This window comes from Homo sapiens, chromosome 12, assembly GCF_000001405.40.
Source record: "Homo sapiens chromosome 12, GRCh38.p14 Primary Assembly".
Lineage (NCBI taxonomy): Eukaryota > Metazoa > Chordata > Mammalia > Primates > Hominidae > Homo > Homo sapiens.
In genome coordinates this window covers 44,382,354-44,399,423 of record NC_000012.12, presented here as the reverse complement: position 1 = coordinate 44,399,423, position 17,070 = coordinate 44,382,354, and the positions used below count along the sequence as shown (strand labels likewise).

General features: G+C 37.2%; 1 protein-coding gene across 10 annotated transcripts in view; it reads right to left on the bottom strand.

The window, feature by feature from the left end:
• Positions 1-315: 315 nt before the first annotated feature.
• TMEM117 (transmembrane protein 117) overlaps positions 316-17,070 on the bottom strand; it is a 603,307-nt gene continuing 586,552 nt past the window's right edge. For 9 of the 10 annotated variants that reach the window (XM_047429662.1, NM_032256.3, NM_001286211.2 and 6 more), the window contains one exon: positions 9,666-11,398. In XM_047429662.1, coding sequence (XP_047285618.1) covers positions 10,752-11,398 — 647 coding nt within the window. In that variant the 3' untranslated portion in view covers positions 9,666-10,751. Of the gene's footprint in view, positions 5,266-9,665; positions 11,399-17,070 lie in introns of those variants that run through there. The other variant, XM_047429665.1, reaches the window with a different exon arrangement.

Here is a 17,070-nt window from a genome sequence, read left to right as displayed (position 1 = left end):
ATCCCCGGAGCCAGTTTGGTGTGCCATCCTCCCACAAGCAGGTGGTGAGTAATTTCATCCAGTTGTGGAGAGGGAATCTTGAGACACCAAAGTCAAGCCAAAATTGATTTAGTTATTTTATTGTATTGATGGGGCCTTGAAATCTTTTCTTGGTCAGAGTATGTTTTTAAGTATGCTATACCTAATAATGTCATTTTCTGCTTAAAATTCTTTAGTGGTTTCCTGCTATCTTCAGAAGAAAGTACAAAGTCCTCAGCATGGTCAATGAGGCCCAAGCATGAGCTGAAACCTGCTCACCTCTCCCATCTCAGCATATCCTTGTTATAAAAAGTTTATTGTAAATAGACAAGTTATAGTTGTATGTATTTATAGAGTACAAAATGATGCTATGATTTTGTAATACAAATGTGGAATAATTAAATCAAGCTAATTAACATATCCATCCTCACAAACATTTATCATATATCCTGAGAGAGGCACTAGATATACAGGATTGAGCCATACAAATAACTAGAGGGAAAGATACACTTAAAACTCATAATGACACAAATAATGACTTAATTATAGCTATAGAAAGGACTACCTTTTTTTGAAGGTAGACTGTTATAAAAACAAATGCAATCTTCCCTGCCTTAGCAAAGCATTATTCTTTGGCATTATTTCAGTTGGTTTTTTGTGCAGGAGCATCCTTAGGTCTGTGGATTCGGCTTTGTTCAATCACTGAGTGACTCCTACCAAAATCCAGCGGTGTCCCAGTAGCCTGCCCCCAGCAGTTAGGCCTGTTCTCAGGAGCCAGCTCCTCCTGTGTGGGGGTGGGGTGGGCACTGAGGTGTTACTTTCCCCCATATGGTGTGTCTGGTGGTTGGGACTAGAATACAGCCTGGTCTCTTGTCTGCAGTCCATTTTCTACCGGTACCCTGCCCAAAACCCGAGACCATTTGATTGGAGGCCAAGTGACTGGTCAATCACAAAATGCAAACTGGTTGACGTCCCAGCTTGGGCTGTCTGTATGGCTTTCCTTTGGCTTCTCCCAGGAATGCTTCCTGCTTCAAACTGGACAGATTTCTCTGGGACAATGACAACACCCTGCCAGCTCCAGCAGTGTCTGCTGCTACACTTCCCTCCATATTGGATCCCTTGCATCATGGGCTCTTCTGCCTTCTTTGGCAGCTACTCCTCAACCCTTTCAAACAGAGGAACCTGCAGTGGAATTGGGCCCCTGGCTCTTGCTCCTGTTTTCTTCAATGTCCAGATTTATTTGTTTTCAGGCTTGGATGATGATACATATTTAAGTCCTTAGGTTTAAAAAAAAAACCAAAACAAAACAAACAAAAAAAAAAAACAACCACCCACAGAAATCCCTCTACTCTGTCCTTCAGAAAGGACAACAGGGTATGGGGCCGGAGTAGGGTGGAGTAGAAAAACAGCTTACACTCACTGCCTTTAGATAAGAGGTAACTGATGGTAAAATGCCAAGCAGGCAGAAAGAGGGGCCGTAAGACACTTCTTGTCTAACGTTTTGCCCTCCCTCCACTGTTGTCACTCTGTGTAGAATCCTGGCTGGCAAGGCTGGCTTGGATGGATACTTATGCTTAGACCTCACACAATTGATTTGCTTAGGGCTAGGTGCCAGGCTTCTCTTCCAGCCCATAAACAACTAATCAAATTAATGGATGCTGCTGCTGGTTCTCATCAAATGCCATTAAAATATAACTCTTTCATGAATAATTCTAAACATTGACTCAAAGCAATTGATTACAAGAACTATGTATTTCAAATGGGAGGAATAATTGATGTTTTCAACATGTAAATAAGCTTCTAGGGAGTTCTGAGATACCAGTTATAAAAGTACAGCTATAATCACAGTTCGTCCGAGTTTTAGAGCTTCCGACTTGTGTTTATTTTCCAGTTGTGGCTTTCAGAGAGCAACATGTAAAATGCAAACCTGTTTCATCATCTCAATTTCATTCTGTCTGGTCCTGCCTGTAAACTTACTAAGTGCTATGGGTCTGCACTTAGAGATATGAACTGTAGAAAAACATAAAGAATGGGGACATTATATTTCCTTTCTTTTAAAAGACTGGCATCTCAAGATACAGAGTCAGTCATCACATAACTGCCTTCCCATCAATCACAGTCAATTCACTCATGAAAAGCTCTAGTAGAAGAAGAAACTGAAGAGTCAGGTGAGGATATTGCACTCTTGTTTCAGAAATTAGTGCAGGGGACTTCTAGCTGCCCCCTCTGACTGGCTGCTCTTTGTTTTAACTCTCTCATGCTTTGTCCTGGTTTGCTCTCACTCCCTACCGTGGGCCTCCCTTACTTGATAGTTTTGTTCAAGTTTTTCTGGCTCAACTGGGATACTCGCTTTAAATTGGATTTTTTAAATTTTCTATTCTTACCCCTCATTTCCCATATTGAATGTAAGAAATAATCCTGCCTCCCTCTTAACTGAAAGGATTTGACTGGCAGAGTCATGGAGTCCTCTATCATGGAGAGGATCAGATAATTTGAGAATATTATGCTACATAAATGAGTCAATTCTTTTTCTTTTCTTTCTTTTTTTTTTTTTTTTGGAGTCTCACTCTGTTGCCCAGGCTGGAGTGCAAAGGCACAATCTCGGCTCACTGCAACCTCCGCCTCCCTGGTTCAAGTGATTCTCCTCCCTCAGCCTCCTGAGTATCTGGGATTACAGGTGCCCGCCACCACACCAGGCTAATTTTTATATTTTCAGTAGAGACAGAGTTTCACCATGTTGGCTAGGCTGGTCTCGAACTCCTGACCTTAAGTGATCTGCCTGCCTTGGCCTCCCAAATTGCTGGGATTACAGGCTTGAGCCACCGCACCCGGCCTAAATGAATCAATTCTAAGTACATTATTTCACTTAATATGTAGTTATTCAGTCAAATTTTATTGAGTCAGAAACTATAAAGCTAATTAATTCCTCCCCCCCACACCAAGTCATCATTATAGGCAGGATCAAAATGTTTATAATCTAATAGGAGACACAGATATATAAACATATAGTGGAAGAAATGCTAAAGATACTATAATAGATAAAAGGTAGGTCATATAGGAACACAAGAGAGGGGCAGTACATTTTATTTTGGAAGATGAAGAAAGACTTAATAAAAGAGATGATATTTGAATTGGTCTTGCTGGTTATGGTGGAAAAGCGGATTCCAAACAGAAGACACTGAGCAAAAGCAGAGTTGAGTGGTACAAGTGATGCAATGGAGAGCTGTCAGTAGTTCAACATGGCTGCAGGGTTAGAAGTCACTGGACAGGGGAGAGAAAACCAGAGAAGCTGGCATACAGTCTTGAGTGCCAGGCAGTAATATGCATTTTATTAGTGGTTCTCAAATTGATGTTTGTAAGAGAATCACCTATGGAACTTTAAAAACTCAGCTCAGCTCTAGCTCCATCCCAAACCCACTGAATGTACTTCCAAGTGTGAGGCATGGCTGGGCATATTTTGCAAATGCTCTTCTGACCAGAAACTCCTGAAACTTGTTCCATGTCCTTTGTGGGCATAGAGCTGAACAGCATTTCCTAGCATTCCTTGCAGTTAGGCACAGGCTGTAACTGAGTTCTGGCCAATGGAATGCAAGAAGTGATATATGCCACTTCCAAGTCTATTCCTGAAAATTCTTACAGCATCTTCCTCACCTGCTCTCCTTCATCACCAGCCTGCTGAATATGCTGAAGACTGTAAGACCCTAGAAAGTCAAAGAACCTCTTGCTGAAACATGTCTGAGTCCCTGAGTCATTGTATGTAAGGCTACCCAGTGAACACCCAGTTCAGTGGCCATATGAGCAAGGAATTGATTTTTATTGTGTTAAGCCAGTGGGATTTTGGACTTGTACACAATACTTTTGAAAACCACTGCTGGGCAATAACTGGCCACTGAAAGTGTGAAGTGTTACAATCGGATTTACACTTCAGAAATATTATTCTGGTACAAGTGTGGAGAATAGATAGCACTGGAAAAGGTGAGAGCCAGGAAGACCAATTAAGATTAATTGCAGTCATCTTTGGAATAGAATATGAGATTGCAGCATGGCAGTAGTGATAATGATGGGGAATAGGATAGTGGACCAATTATAGGAGACAGAAGTAAATAAAATCTATTCATTTTGGAGACCATTTGGATATGTAAATGACAGAGCCTCTGAGTTTTCTAGTGTATTTGAAGTTCAACATGTTGTGCTTCAAATGCAAAAACATTATAATTTGTTCAAAGATAATTTTATAGTAATTTCATGGTTATCAAGCTTGAAGAGTAATTGTTAGAGTTATCTTTCCTGATATGGCCATTGCTCTTCGTCTCATCTTACACATTTTGTTTCAGTCAAGAGTAACTGTTTTTAAATGCAGATATTTTCTAGTGTGGTTTGGTTGAAGTCAACTGCTATCCAGATAAAATGATGTATTCAAAGCAAATAAGTCTATATGGTGAATGGAAAACCCTGACACTGTTTTAAAATTTTATTCTACAAAGCACTGTGGCTTGGCTGAAGTGTTGCCCTGATTCCACAGGCTGCCAAGGTGAGCTTTCTAAAAGGCAAGGCTAGAGTGACATCCCAATTCAGAAGTGGCTACCTCAACTTCATCCAAATACAGCTGGAAGATCCTAAAGTGCAGGGGCTCAGGTGCATGTGTCAGCTTTCTTTAAATGCTGAAGACACAAGCACTTTCACTTCAGGATTTATGAAAGGTGGTGGATTACTGGCAAGATGAGAGTGTCCTGATAAGAGAAGCTAGTAAAGAAATCATAAAAAGAAGGAAATAATTTAGAACTCTAGAGCCTAGGAAACCTTGAGGAATAAGTTTGGCCCAGCAGCTCCAAGGGATTATGACCATTGATTTCACACAATATAGCTGCTTGCTTTAAACTAAGGGATCTGAACTTCTGTTACAAGTGAAAAGGGATTACATTGCAGCTTGTAGAGTTCAAAGCAACCAACAGGGACAGAAAATTGGGAGCAAATGGCCTAACCATGTTTAATGGCAGCATCAACTTGGAAGAAGCCAAGGGGGTTCTGTTGAAAGCTGGGCACTAGAGGGGACTGGAGCCCATGCCTGTCATATTCACCTCACATCTGCATGACTTGTTGCAGCTACCTGCATGCTTTCACATATATACAGTCTTCTTTGGTCCTCTTCGAAACCCTGTGAAGAATTTCCATTCCAGGGATGAGAATAGGGCTCATCACGTCAAGGGAAACATCTTCATGGCCAGTCTTGATACCTGGATAAGGATTCTTAAAAATAATAAATTTGGAGTCATCATTTCAAAATATGGTTTTCAAAATATGGTTGTCTCTAGAGCCCATATTCAAATTATGCTTCCTAGAACTGGCCATTAGCTAATCTTTTTTTCCCTTGTTTTAATATTCATAACTACCAGTTCTTCCTCTAACATTCTCCTGGGGATGTGTTCAAAACATGCAGAGCTCCAGTCTCCCTTCCCCAAAGAAAGTGAAATGACAAAAGAAACAAATTCCAGTGCTAGGAATTGTATTGAGACAAATCTGTGTTGTGGTTTTAAAAATGTAGCTTAAATCAAAACACGGGGCAATGAACTGACTGCTTTTGCCATTTAATTTGACCTTATCTGTTTCAATCATATGCTTTAAATTGTAAATTACATCCAGGCAGTTATTAAAAATTAATATTTGACTTAGATTCTTGAGCGGTAAGAATTGCTAGAAGTTAAGCATATTTATGGCTTTACAACCATTTCCCAGGTTATCCTTACCAAAGATCCCATTTGATACAGATACTCTGGTTTTGATGGGTGTTTATAGATGTTTGTGATGGAAAACTGGAGTCAGACAAGACTGAATTCCAATCTTGACTTTGCATTTGGCTAGCTTTCAGTCCTCGGGCAAGTCAAAAAAACCTCTCTAAGCCTGAGGTTCACCATCTGTATAGTGAAATTAACCCTACTTACCTTCAATTGTTAAGGTTAATGTGAGTATTGAATGGAATATTTATTTTCACATAGAAAATATTCAAAATGGTGGTATCATTAATATGAGAATTAAGCAAAGATCTGGATAGGGTGAAAAAGTTTATTAGAGCAAGGAGTATCTATAAATTTGTTTTGTTACTGTGATTCTCAATTATAAATTATCGTGGTCTTTCTCAGTTATGTAAGTCCTTAAAAAGCCCAATAGTACAGTTGGTATTAAGGAATTTAGACCTTAGGAGAGCTTATGTTGGAGGTAGATATATAAACCTGTGAAATATATGTTTTATATTCACTAAAGTAAAATAATTGATACCTCACACTAAATTAAAATATTATCAGTAGTATTTTATACATATTAAATTAGTAATACTTTCCAATTTTGTTTCTCATTAAATTTTTTCAGAATCTCTCTCTAGGAGAAAGTACCTGGAAGATATTTTCATTTACAGGATATCAGCTTTTATATGCTGATAATATGCTTACAAGCCAAATTTGCCCTGATGTTTGTTCTTCCATCAAGGATGTTCCAGTCTCTCTAAATTGATGTGATTTTTCTTTCTCTTCTCATGTTGCCTACTGTAGTTTCTTTCACAGTAACACTTCTCCCCTCCCAGGTCTCATCATGCTCCCTGGGGTAGACTTAGAGTAATTTCAATGCTAGAATGTTTAAGAAGCCGCATGTTCTCACTCATAGGTGGGAACTGAACAATGAGAACACATGGACACAGGAAGGGGAACATCACACCCCGGGGCCTGTCGTGGGGTGGGGGGAGGGGGGAGGGATAGCATTAGGAGATATGCCTAATGTTAAATGACGAGTTAATGGGTGCAGCACACCAACATGGCACATGTATACATATGTAACTAACCTGCACATTGTGCACATGTACCCTAAAACTTAAAGTATAATAATAATAAAAAAAAGCCAGCTAACCAGCAAAACAACTAACCAACCAACCAGCCTTTTATGTAATACCCTCAGTCAGCTATGTTGAACATAACTTTTGAGTCCTCTACACAACACATAAGAGTACTAGCCTAATGAGAATTTTATGGTAAAGTTCCTTTCATAGAGGCTATTCTCTCCCTGCAGTTTTAAAGCCTGTTTAAAGTAAAACTGCTGTTTTTATTTCTAAGATTTCATTGCTGAAACCTCCACTTGTTCTCCACCATCTGCCTAACCTTCTCTTTTCATTATAAATATCCACCTCTTTTTCTAGTTTCTTCAACAAGAGTGACTTGTGAGTTATAAATACTACATCTAAACTTCCCTAGTTGTTCAAATAAGACAGTTCTAGGCCAGTCTAAATGGAAGCAACCCAAACGTTTCTGAGCTTGACTCTGTTACCTATATTTATACTCACTAATTACAACTCTATGCACACAAACATGTTTAAACGTCTAAATGGGGATAAATGAGGAAAGTGCCAGTTTATCTGCTGCAGAATTAATTGAGTTGCTCTTGCTGTCTCAAGGGTACGGGCTGGCTAATAGGTCAGAGTTGGGTTCTGAGGGACAAAGCTCGAAGAAATCAGGCCAGATAGAGTAGTGAGCCAAGTCAGTCTCAGAGGGAAAAACCAATATAAGCATAATACCCTACTTGTAGCTGCCTAAGCATGAGTTGAAATTTAAAATAAGGGTTAGTTCAGAGTGAAGGCAGATGAGAAACAATGGCAGGGTACTGAGGTCTTAGCTGAATGTCAGATAATCCAGTTGGCCTCCTGAATTATCAGTTATAGAGACATTTAGGATTTATTAGCATTGTCTTTCTCATATTTCATATTGGGCTGTGTTGGTGACCCATGGGGAAGCCAAATAATGTGATAAAATTGCTTATGGAGCCCAGTGGTGAGCTACCATGTATTGACTCCCTCCTTCAAATCTGAATGCCTGTGTTGGACTTCTTTCCACTGTACTGTCAGCCAGTGGTGCAGTGTTTTTGGACATTACTTGTGTGAAATCTGATACTACAAAAATAAAAAAAATTTGTACCTGGTTGACTCTTAGGGCAGATGGAGAAGAAATAATTCTTAACATTTTAAACAGAATTTGCTGGTGATCTCAGCTATGCTAAAAGATAAGGTAACATAAGTAGCTACCATGGGGAGAAAATAGGGTAACTAATTATGATTATACAATACAAATAGACATGTGGTGATGAGATTTATGTCTAAGTGTATATTATCAGGCACAAATTCATAGTGTTTATTTAATTTTCCATTTCAACTACTAATGAAGTACTTTATAAATGTAGGATACTAAAATTATGTCAAATTAGTTCAAATTCTGCACTATGTGGAAGAAAGTACTGTAATTACTGAACAGTAGAAATATAATTGTTTATAGTACTTAAGCATCACTGCAATTAAGACATCACATTTGTTAAGCTTTCTTTAGAATCTGTGCTTAGTAATTTTTTAAATCCTTTTTTTTAACCTCAATTTCTGAGATTGCTACACATCTCTTTTTAAAATGTCCTTAATAGTTTAAAAGTTTTGGTATTCAAAAATCTCTGTAGAGTCTCAGTCTATTGGTATGACTCAGGATTCAAGACTGAATGTGAATGGATTTAATTTTTAGTTTATTTCATTTTAGTATCTTTACTTGGTATAAATGCAATACCCAAAAGAGGCAGCAAAAGAAGAAAGTAGATCCATATGTAGGTAAGAAAAGGTCACTATCAGTATATACAATTCAACAGTTGGAAGCCTTAGAAGGCTGAAGTCTTGTTTGACTATTAAAATGTCCTTGGAAATTGTTCCATTTGTTACTAAATTTATGAAAATTTAAATATATATTTTCATTTTTTTAATAGTTTTTCTAGCTAATCCCTAGAAACACATAAACATGTTGTTCTAAGTTTGTTATTTTTTTTCTGTCTTACTTCTGCTAATTAGATTTTCTCATTAAAACATTTTCCATTAATACCCATGTAAAAATTCTCAAATAATATTTTTATAAGTCATGCATATTGATAATAAACGTCTACTTTCTAAATCAACTTCTTTCGTCATTCTATAAGACAATGACTTTCAGAATAAATAAAAATGTGGTACTAGGTGTTATTATTTACATGTCCCAGAGCTAAAAGTTGAATGTTCTAGGCTGCCAAAATTTAGTAATAGCTAGTGTTGCCACCTATCAGACATACATGGTAAGTTCCTTTAGATAGTATGGGCAATGGGTTACTATAGTGAGCTTGATCTCTGCATTTGTGTGTGTGTGTGTGTGTGTGTGTGTGTGTGTCAGATATGTTTATGATTCTAAGTAGCACCATGCATGGCTATTAAAGGTAAAAGTAACAGCAGGGGCATGGTTCCAAATGCTTAGTAAAGATGTTTATTAAAGCTGGCTCTCAAGTGACAGATAAATGCATAGTTCTATTATGCATGCTAAATTCAGTATGCTGCAAGCTTAAAAGTAGATAGATCAAAACAAGAGAGATTTAAAAAATCATAAAGAAAAAATGCAGCTATGTCAGTGTGTGACAGGAAAATAATTTTTCCTTAAAAGTGATCTCCCTCACCCCCTCAAGAAACGTAACCACAATTTATGGAACAAAATTGAAAGCAAGTTGGCAGTGTGCCTTCTCTTAACTTGCCTGGCATCAAGCTATAAAAACCCCATGTAAATGGACTTTTCTTAAGCCAAGATACAATTAAACAAAAAACTACATCACATAATCACTGCTGTATAATTCTTATTTATTAATGTGCAATATTTAGTTCTTAAAAAACAAAAACAAAAAACACATACGCAAAACAAGACATTAAACAAATTCTTTCATGCACGGCTTCTCTACCTGACAAGGTTCCGCTGCATGATTTTTTGAGGAGTTCCCTTGCTCAGGGTTGGCATATGTTTTTCAATTTTCACTATCCAGAGCCATATTTGCAGAAAGATATACGAATATTGTAAATGGTGGGATGTGCTGCTCTCATATGATGAAAACTTCAGTTCCTTGGTTGTCTGGGACTTTGTGTAAATGCCAATAAATTTGAGAGTTCGCCCAACTGTGTCTCTTAACCTTTGTTCCCAAAGGTGAAGGGCAGGATTTTTAATCAAGTAGCAATTTATCTTTAATTAGGAAAACATAATTAGGTATCATCACCTCATTTCAATTACTGGTGGGAGAAAGTCACATTTCACGAGTAGTGACCCATGTTGGGTTATGGATCTCCTATTACTGAATTTTGCATCTGTATTTATATTTGGCAGACAGCCAATAAAAATTAAAAGGTGATCACCATGTTTCTCTGCAGTCCAGTTGTCAAAGTCACCAACTCTGCTGCTGAATAAGAAACCAAGAGATACTTCCTGAGTCACATTTAGCTATTTCTGTTTTCTGCTCAGACATCAAGTGTAGATCAAAATAGTTGTATACAAAACGCCCATGTGAAATAGGTTAGGTAACTGTTCCACACTTCATTTCTGGTACAGTTAAAAACAGTTTAATGTCTCAAGGCACCACTATGGTTGAACATCAGATACATGGGTCATCAGCTAATCTTCCACTATGCTGTAAAGTCAGTAATAGCTTGTGCAATTGTGAAAAGCAATCTCTAGAGGACTGTTGAGTATACAGTAGGCACGTGTATTATAATACAAATAGAAAACAATGAATCCTAGAAAAAGCATGTTGAGCACCGTTGTGGCATTGTTCATATTTTTACCTAACACTACGTAAACCTTACATATACAAAAGGAAAGACTAAATTTTTAAAGTTACACTCAAGGTTGCTTTTTGTGTTATCTCCAAGTCTATCTCCGAGTCTAGTTCGTAGGTGTACTTTTAGAAGTCGTTGGGTCTTGATCAGCTTCTGTTGCACTAGTAGATTCGTTCAACTGTGAGCTCAAGTTTTCCGAGGTTAGGTGGGAAGACTTGTAGACGATCTCATTGAAGTCAGACCTGATGCAAACCAAAGAAGGGTCATTCAAGGGGTCTTCTACTGAAGCCTGGGTGTTTTCTCGAGTGATTCCCATGTCTTTGCTATGTTCTGATGGAGATTTTCTTTTCATGCGAGTGTAAGTTTTGTCTTGATTCTCCATGCGTGGCTCATTTTTCAAAAATCGTCCAAAGAACCAAATAAAGAATCCAAACCACACAAAGGCTATCAGGCTTGGAACAAAGGCCAGACACTTGACATCAAGACTGGCTCCTATGAACCTGCTGTGTAAGAACATGTCTCCCTCAACATATGTTTTATTAGTCCGAGGGTTAGTGTGATTGGACCTCCATTCCCAGGATAGCTTGGTTCTGTTCAAATCTTTTAAACTTTCTGAGTCTTTCACTGTATATATCTTCTGCCCCGGGCCGATATATTGCCCATATTCATGAGGTTTATAAAATATTTGGTTCTTCCACATATTAAGATCCAAAATCAAGACGAGGAAGATAATTCCATAGTTAAACCATTTGCCTGCATTAAAAAAGAAATACTGCATTAATCAAAGGGCCATAAAATTGCAATAAGGTTTTCTACAATAAAATGAGGATAATGGTATAATAACATCAATTGTTAATGTTTCAGACTGGTTAACAATTAATATTTTGAGAGTGCTGTGCTGCCATTAAGTGAATTGGCAAAGGGAATTTACTAAATGGATTCTGGGCATATGAAAACACAACTGTAGGTCCCTGAGCCAGTAATTTATGGCATTTATACTAACAAGATTAAGTCTCCTTGTTTTATAGGCACCACAGCTATACTCAAATTTGGTTCCATGTAGGTTATCCTCTAGAACATTTCAATTAATGTGAAAAAACAAAGTCTAATGAAATTCTTAGAAAAGTTCAATGTATGATTGAACATCTCTTACAGTTTTATAATTATGTCTGGGCAAGAAATAAATCATTTTGCAATGCAAGCACAGCAGTATATCAAATTAATTCATATTGCTGTTTGTAGGTGACCTGTTGATTAAACCATTAGTTGATGTGATTCAGATCAATAATCCTTGAGCATTCAAGACTTTAAAAATAATTACATCAAATTCTCATTGAACAAAATGCATTTATCAGACATAAATGTAACCATACCTTATGAACTGCTTGAAAAGATATATTTGAAGAGATTGCAACTATTATTTCTTTTTTTAATATTTAAAATCTTATATAAATACAATATTTAATGATCTTTTATCAAATGATATTTTTACATTTGCAAATGGAAAGAATGTGGAAAAACTTTTCAGGTATACTAGAAAACTTTTCAGGTATACTAGAGTCCATTATAATTTTTATTATGATTTCTACAAATGGACAAAAGGTGAAAAAACTTTCGAGTGATACTAGATTCTATTATAATTTTTTATTATAAATTATTGCAAGTATCATGTATATTATAATAATACAGTAATACCTACCTCATAGGTTTGCTGTAGCAAGTTAGGGGACGTATGTACCAGGTTCCAGAAGCTTTAGTTATAATAATTTTATGTATTATGCCAAAACTTTTTTCTTTTGTATTTGAAGTAACATTATTTAACGTTATTGTTACTGCTTCATATGATTATGTATTTGGCAATATACAGTCTAACAAAATATCTAGCTACATAAAAATATAAAAGACATAACTGCGAGGAGTTTAGGAAAATATTTTATCATCATAATTACATATTTTATTAAAGCTCCTATTATATGTAAGGCTAAATACTTTTAATCCTGGCTCCAAAATTACTAGCTGTGTGATCTTGAGCCAGTTGTTAAACACTCCAAAGCCCAGTTTCTTTACATGCAGAAAATAATAGTATTTATTAAAGTTGTCAGAATTTCATGCGATTACTAGATGCTAAGGACAGTGCCTGGTACATAATAGGGGCCCAGTAATTGCTATAATTATCATCACGAAAGCCTTGCCTAAACCATGATAATTTTTTTATTTGCATGAGAAGGTGCAACTTGCTCCTCTATGAAGAGAGCTTACCTAAACTATATGAAGGGGAATAGTAACTGCTTGTCCTGACATTGTTCAGCTATATAGAGTTTATAATATTTGAAATGAAAACTCTTGCCTGAATGATTTTTTTGGGCATACCCAACTGGAAAGTAATTTTGAACATTGGGAATGTTGTCTCAGATATGATAAAATATCTATAGCGTCTGGTGCTGTTAAGTTCAAACCACTCATGAGATCTTCAAAACTAAACCAGGTTCATATTAAAGATCAACCATAACAGACTCCGTGTAGAACACACTGGTAGATGCTGAAAACATATGTCTCTGCCTTTCAGAAAGGATTTCATCATCTTGTTAGGGGAACAGGACAGAGATCAACAGATAAATAGTGAGAGGCTACATCTGGAGGTGCCAAATGAGTGATACAAACCATAAATGCTGTAAATATTGAGGAAATGGAAAAAAACTGAAGGATACTTTCTGCAGGAAAGATTTTGAGGACGGAACAATTCATGTGGTCCTTGAAGAACAAGCAGGACAGAAAATAGTTTGGAAAATTTTGTGTTTATTTTCGTTTATGCTTTCAGTATGTTGTAGATAGAACAGCATATATAAAAGATGAGATAACATGGAAGAAAGAGGCTGAGGGGAGAGAAAAGGAAAAGAATGGAGATTATTGTAGAAAAAGGCAGGAAAGGGATGAGAAACAGGAGAAATGAAAAAGTTCAGAGATTCTTATCCAGTATTAAGGAGACACTAATCTGTAGATTCCATGACAGAAAGCAAGTTGAAGGAGGGGCTTTGGGTTCTCCTCTGTTGTCGGAGCTTTATATTTATTCTCTTGCTGTAAACTGTACATGTTACAAAGCCAGACCAGATGGTGGGGGAAGAGGTCCTTGTGCTTGTATGACTGATCACCGTCTCCTTATAAAATTTTTATTTTCCTTTTGAGACAGTGTCTCACTCTGTTGCAAGGCTGGAGCACAGTGGTGCAATTATAGCTCACTGCAGCCTTGAACTCCTAGACAAAACAATCCTCCTGCCTCAGCCTCCCAAGTAGCTAGAACTACAAGCTCAAGTCACCATACCTGGCTCCCACTACTTTCTTGACTCCCAAAGGTTTCTTTCTCCCAAAGAACTTTTCCAGCACTATTTAATTATTTTTCTACCAAGTGAATAGTGCTGGGTCAGTTTGACCACTAAACTTGCACACCCAAGGATCACTTTTTATTATTTCTCATGTGTCCTGATGTCTGAACATTTAGATGGGGTGGAGAAGGAGCAAATTAAAACTGTATGGCCTAACATCAGTTAACGGATATCATCACCTACTCCAACACATCTTTACTGGTTTGTAAAAGGGAGCACCATGGCAACAAAGCTGCAGGCTGGAAATGAGCAGATGGGCATCTCATCCCAACACTGAACTTAAAGCATATGACCTTGGGTAACCTGTTTAACCTCTCTAGACCACGGTTATTCTATTTTCAAATTGAGAAAACTGAACTAGATGCCTTCCAGTTCCATAATTCTGCCCTTCTACCCCAAATCTGTCTACTTATTGGTCGTGTATAGAATCCAATTTTTTATTCTGTGAAATGGAGAATAATACCAGTGTAACTACCTCAAAGGATTATTTGTGAGGATAAAATGAGATGTTGTGTTAGAACATTCTCTGAAATATATTGTTTGCCAAAAATGTAGGGTGGTATTATTTCTCCAATTTATTTCTCTACTTCTTCAATCCAGACAATATAGGATCTTGGTGACGGAATAGAGGGAGAGAAGGACACATAAGGATTGTAACAAAGATATATCCTAAAAGTGATTACATTATCTAATTTTTCTGTTGGAATAAAACAGTATGCATTACTAAATACCAACAATAATAGGAAGATGACATGGGACCAGTTATCCAAGAGGACTCAGTGTGTGGCTCTATGTAAATATGCTTTCTAAATCAGCATATTTAACATGTTAAAAATCCTTAGCAATTAGTAGTTTGTCTACTGCTTGCAGTAGTATTGGCCCTGAGGAAAGACCTTTTATATCTATGAATTTTGAGACTAAAAAACAGGGGATCGTGTCCCTACCTCTCCCCCACAGAAGAGAGGCCATGTGGGGGTGGGGAAGTGCAGAGGGGAAGGGATGCAGTGAGCCAGGCTGCCTATTCATATCACATTTCCCTTCTTCTCCCTCCTGCGCATGCAGCAGTGTCCTTCTCTCACTCAGCTGAAACTTGAAGCTGCTAAAATGGTAGAAAAAATGGCCCTTTTTATTATTTTTGTTTGTTTGTTTCTGCCCATCTGACATGACCTCTAGTTCATTTATCTGTTTACAGAGGAAGGATGTTCATCTTTCTCTGTCATCCATCTTTCCATTTTTCCCACACACTGTGTCGTTACCTTGGTAATGCTTTCTCCTCCTTAAAAAATTCCTTTTGCCCTATCAGATGTGGCAAAGCAGAAGGTGAAGTCAGGCAGGGCAACCCAACCCCTGTGTTCTTGTCTATAAAGTGAGGGAGTTGAGCTAGATAATCCTTAAGATTTCTTCCCAGCCCTAAAAGTTTCTTTGATGAGTCTGTGAAATAAACATTGCCTAAATCTTAGTGTTTTATGCTGGGCCAGAAAATCTCAACATTAGAGCAAAGAAGATGGAATATACAATTTTAGAAGGAGAAAGGTTTTCTGAAAAAAAATTGTATCTTCTGAGAAACAGTGTTTACCATAAAAAATAAATTTGAGTCCCTGAAATGACCCAGATAGAAAGGATTTAAGACAAAAAAGAACAGAATAGAAAGTGCTTCTATAGCCATTTTCCCAAGTGTGTTGTTGTGAATATACAATCGACAGTAACCAGAGGGTTGGTATTTCAGCATTAATCATATGAGAGCTTTTGCATTTTCCCCTGTTGTTTCAACTACCTAGCACAATGTAAATCAGCAAGGAGGTAGGGTAAGAATCCATACATTCTTTCTATTAATCTCCTTGTTGAAATACTTCACTATCTCCTCTAATGAGAAATCACTGCGTGGTGTTGGTGGGATTACCTCTTTTTTGGTTTTTGGGCTTTTAATGAATCCTACTGGTTGTCAGAGATGATATTATAATGAAAATTTTATCTTTTTACTTTGTGGGAGTTTACAGAATCTGAGGATAGATCATTTTAAAAGGATTCTTCATTAAATATCACCCTCAAATAGCAAATGACAACAATTTGAGGGAAAGTGTTATTTTTTTCAACTAAGGAAAAAGACTATAAGGTACTGATAATTCCACCATATAATGAACTTTTCATGACTGAAATATGCAAATATAATATTTTTAATCTTTTACTCTGCAGAGGTGCCAGTTAGCACTGTGGATGAGCTGTGCTGTGGGCCCCTCTCTACCACATGGGTGCGATTACTTGGCCAGACTTTGACATCTAGTGCAGGTGTATGGATGTGGTTACGCTCCCCAAAGTCATTCAGCAACCATCATGGGACAGCACAAAACCATGGCCTTGAAGAAGATGAATTTTGGATAAGTAAAAGAAATATGCAATTTGCTGTATCAGTCTTCTTGGCCATCCATCCTAATCTCCCCTCATTCCAGATGTGAGCAGTAAAAACAGGGCTCACGAGTTAGCATCTCTTCATGTCTCTCCCTAGGCAATTTAGGGATATCTAGAAACCACATTAAGTGCTTGGGTCATGAGGAGGCCATTTCGTAAACTGAAAATATTTACTTATTAATTTATGAAGTAGTCATAATTATTTGAGTTATCAAAGTACCTTCTTAAGACTTAAAAACAAACTGATACAACTTCTCAAAGTGCCTCTCTTGTCATTGTTACTTCCTAAGTGGGAGACTATTTCTTAGGAAGCAATCCAATGTGACGAGTACAGGTAGGAACATGTGATCATAAGCATAGAAAGAAGAAAAGTGGTTATACTGAATTAGATGACCATTAAACTATGACTTTCTTGAGATTGGGAACTGTGTCGTGTTCATTTCTGTGTTCTCCAGATACCAACTAGTTTTTGACACATATTAACTCAGAAAAATATCTGTTAACCAACTTGTAAACTCTGAGACAATGTGCCCAGAAAAATACGAAAAGAGAAGTTTTAGCATTTCAAATAAAATGCATGTATCATAATTATCTGATGAATTCCACGACATAGCTAAAATTGGACATAATCTGAAAAAC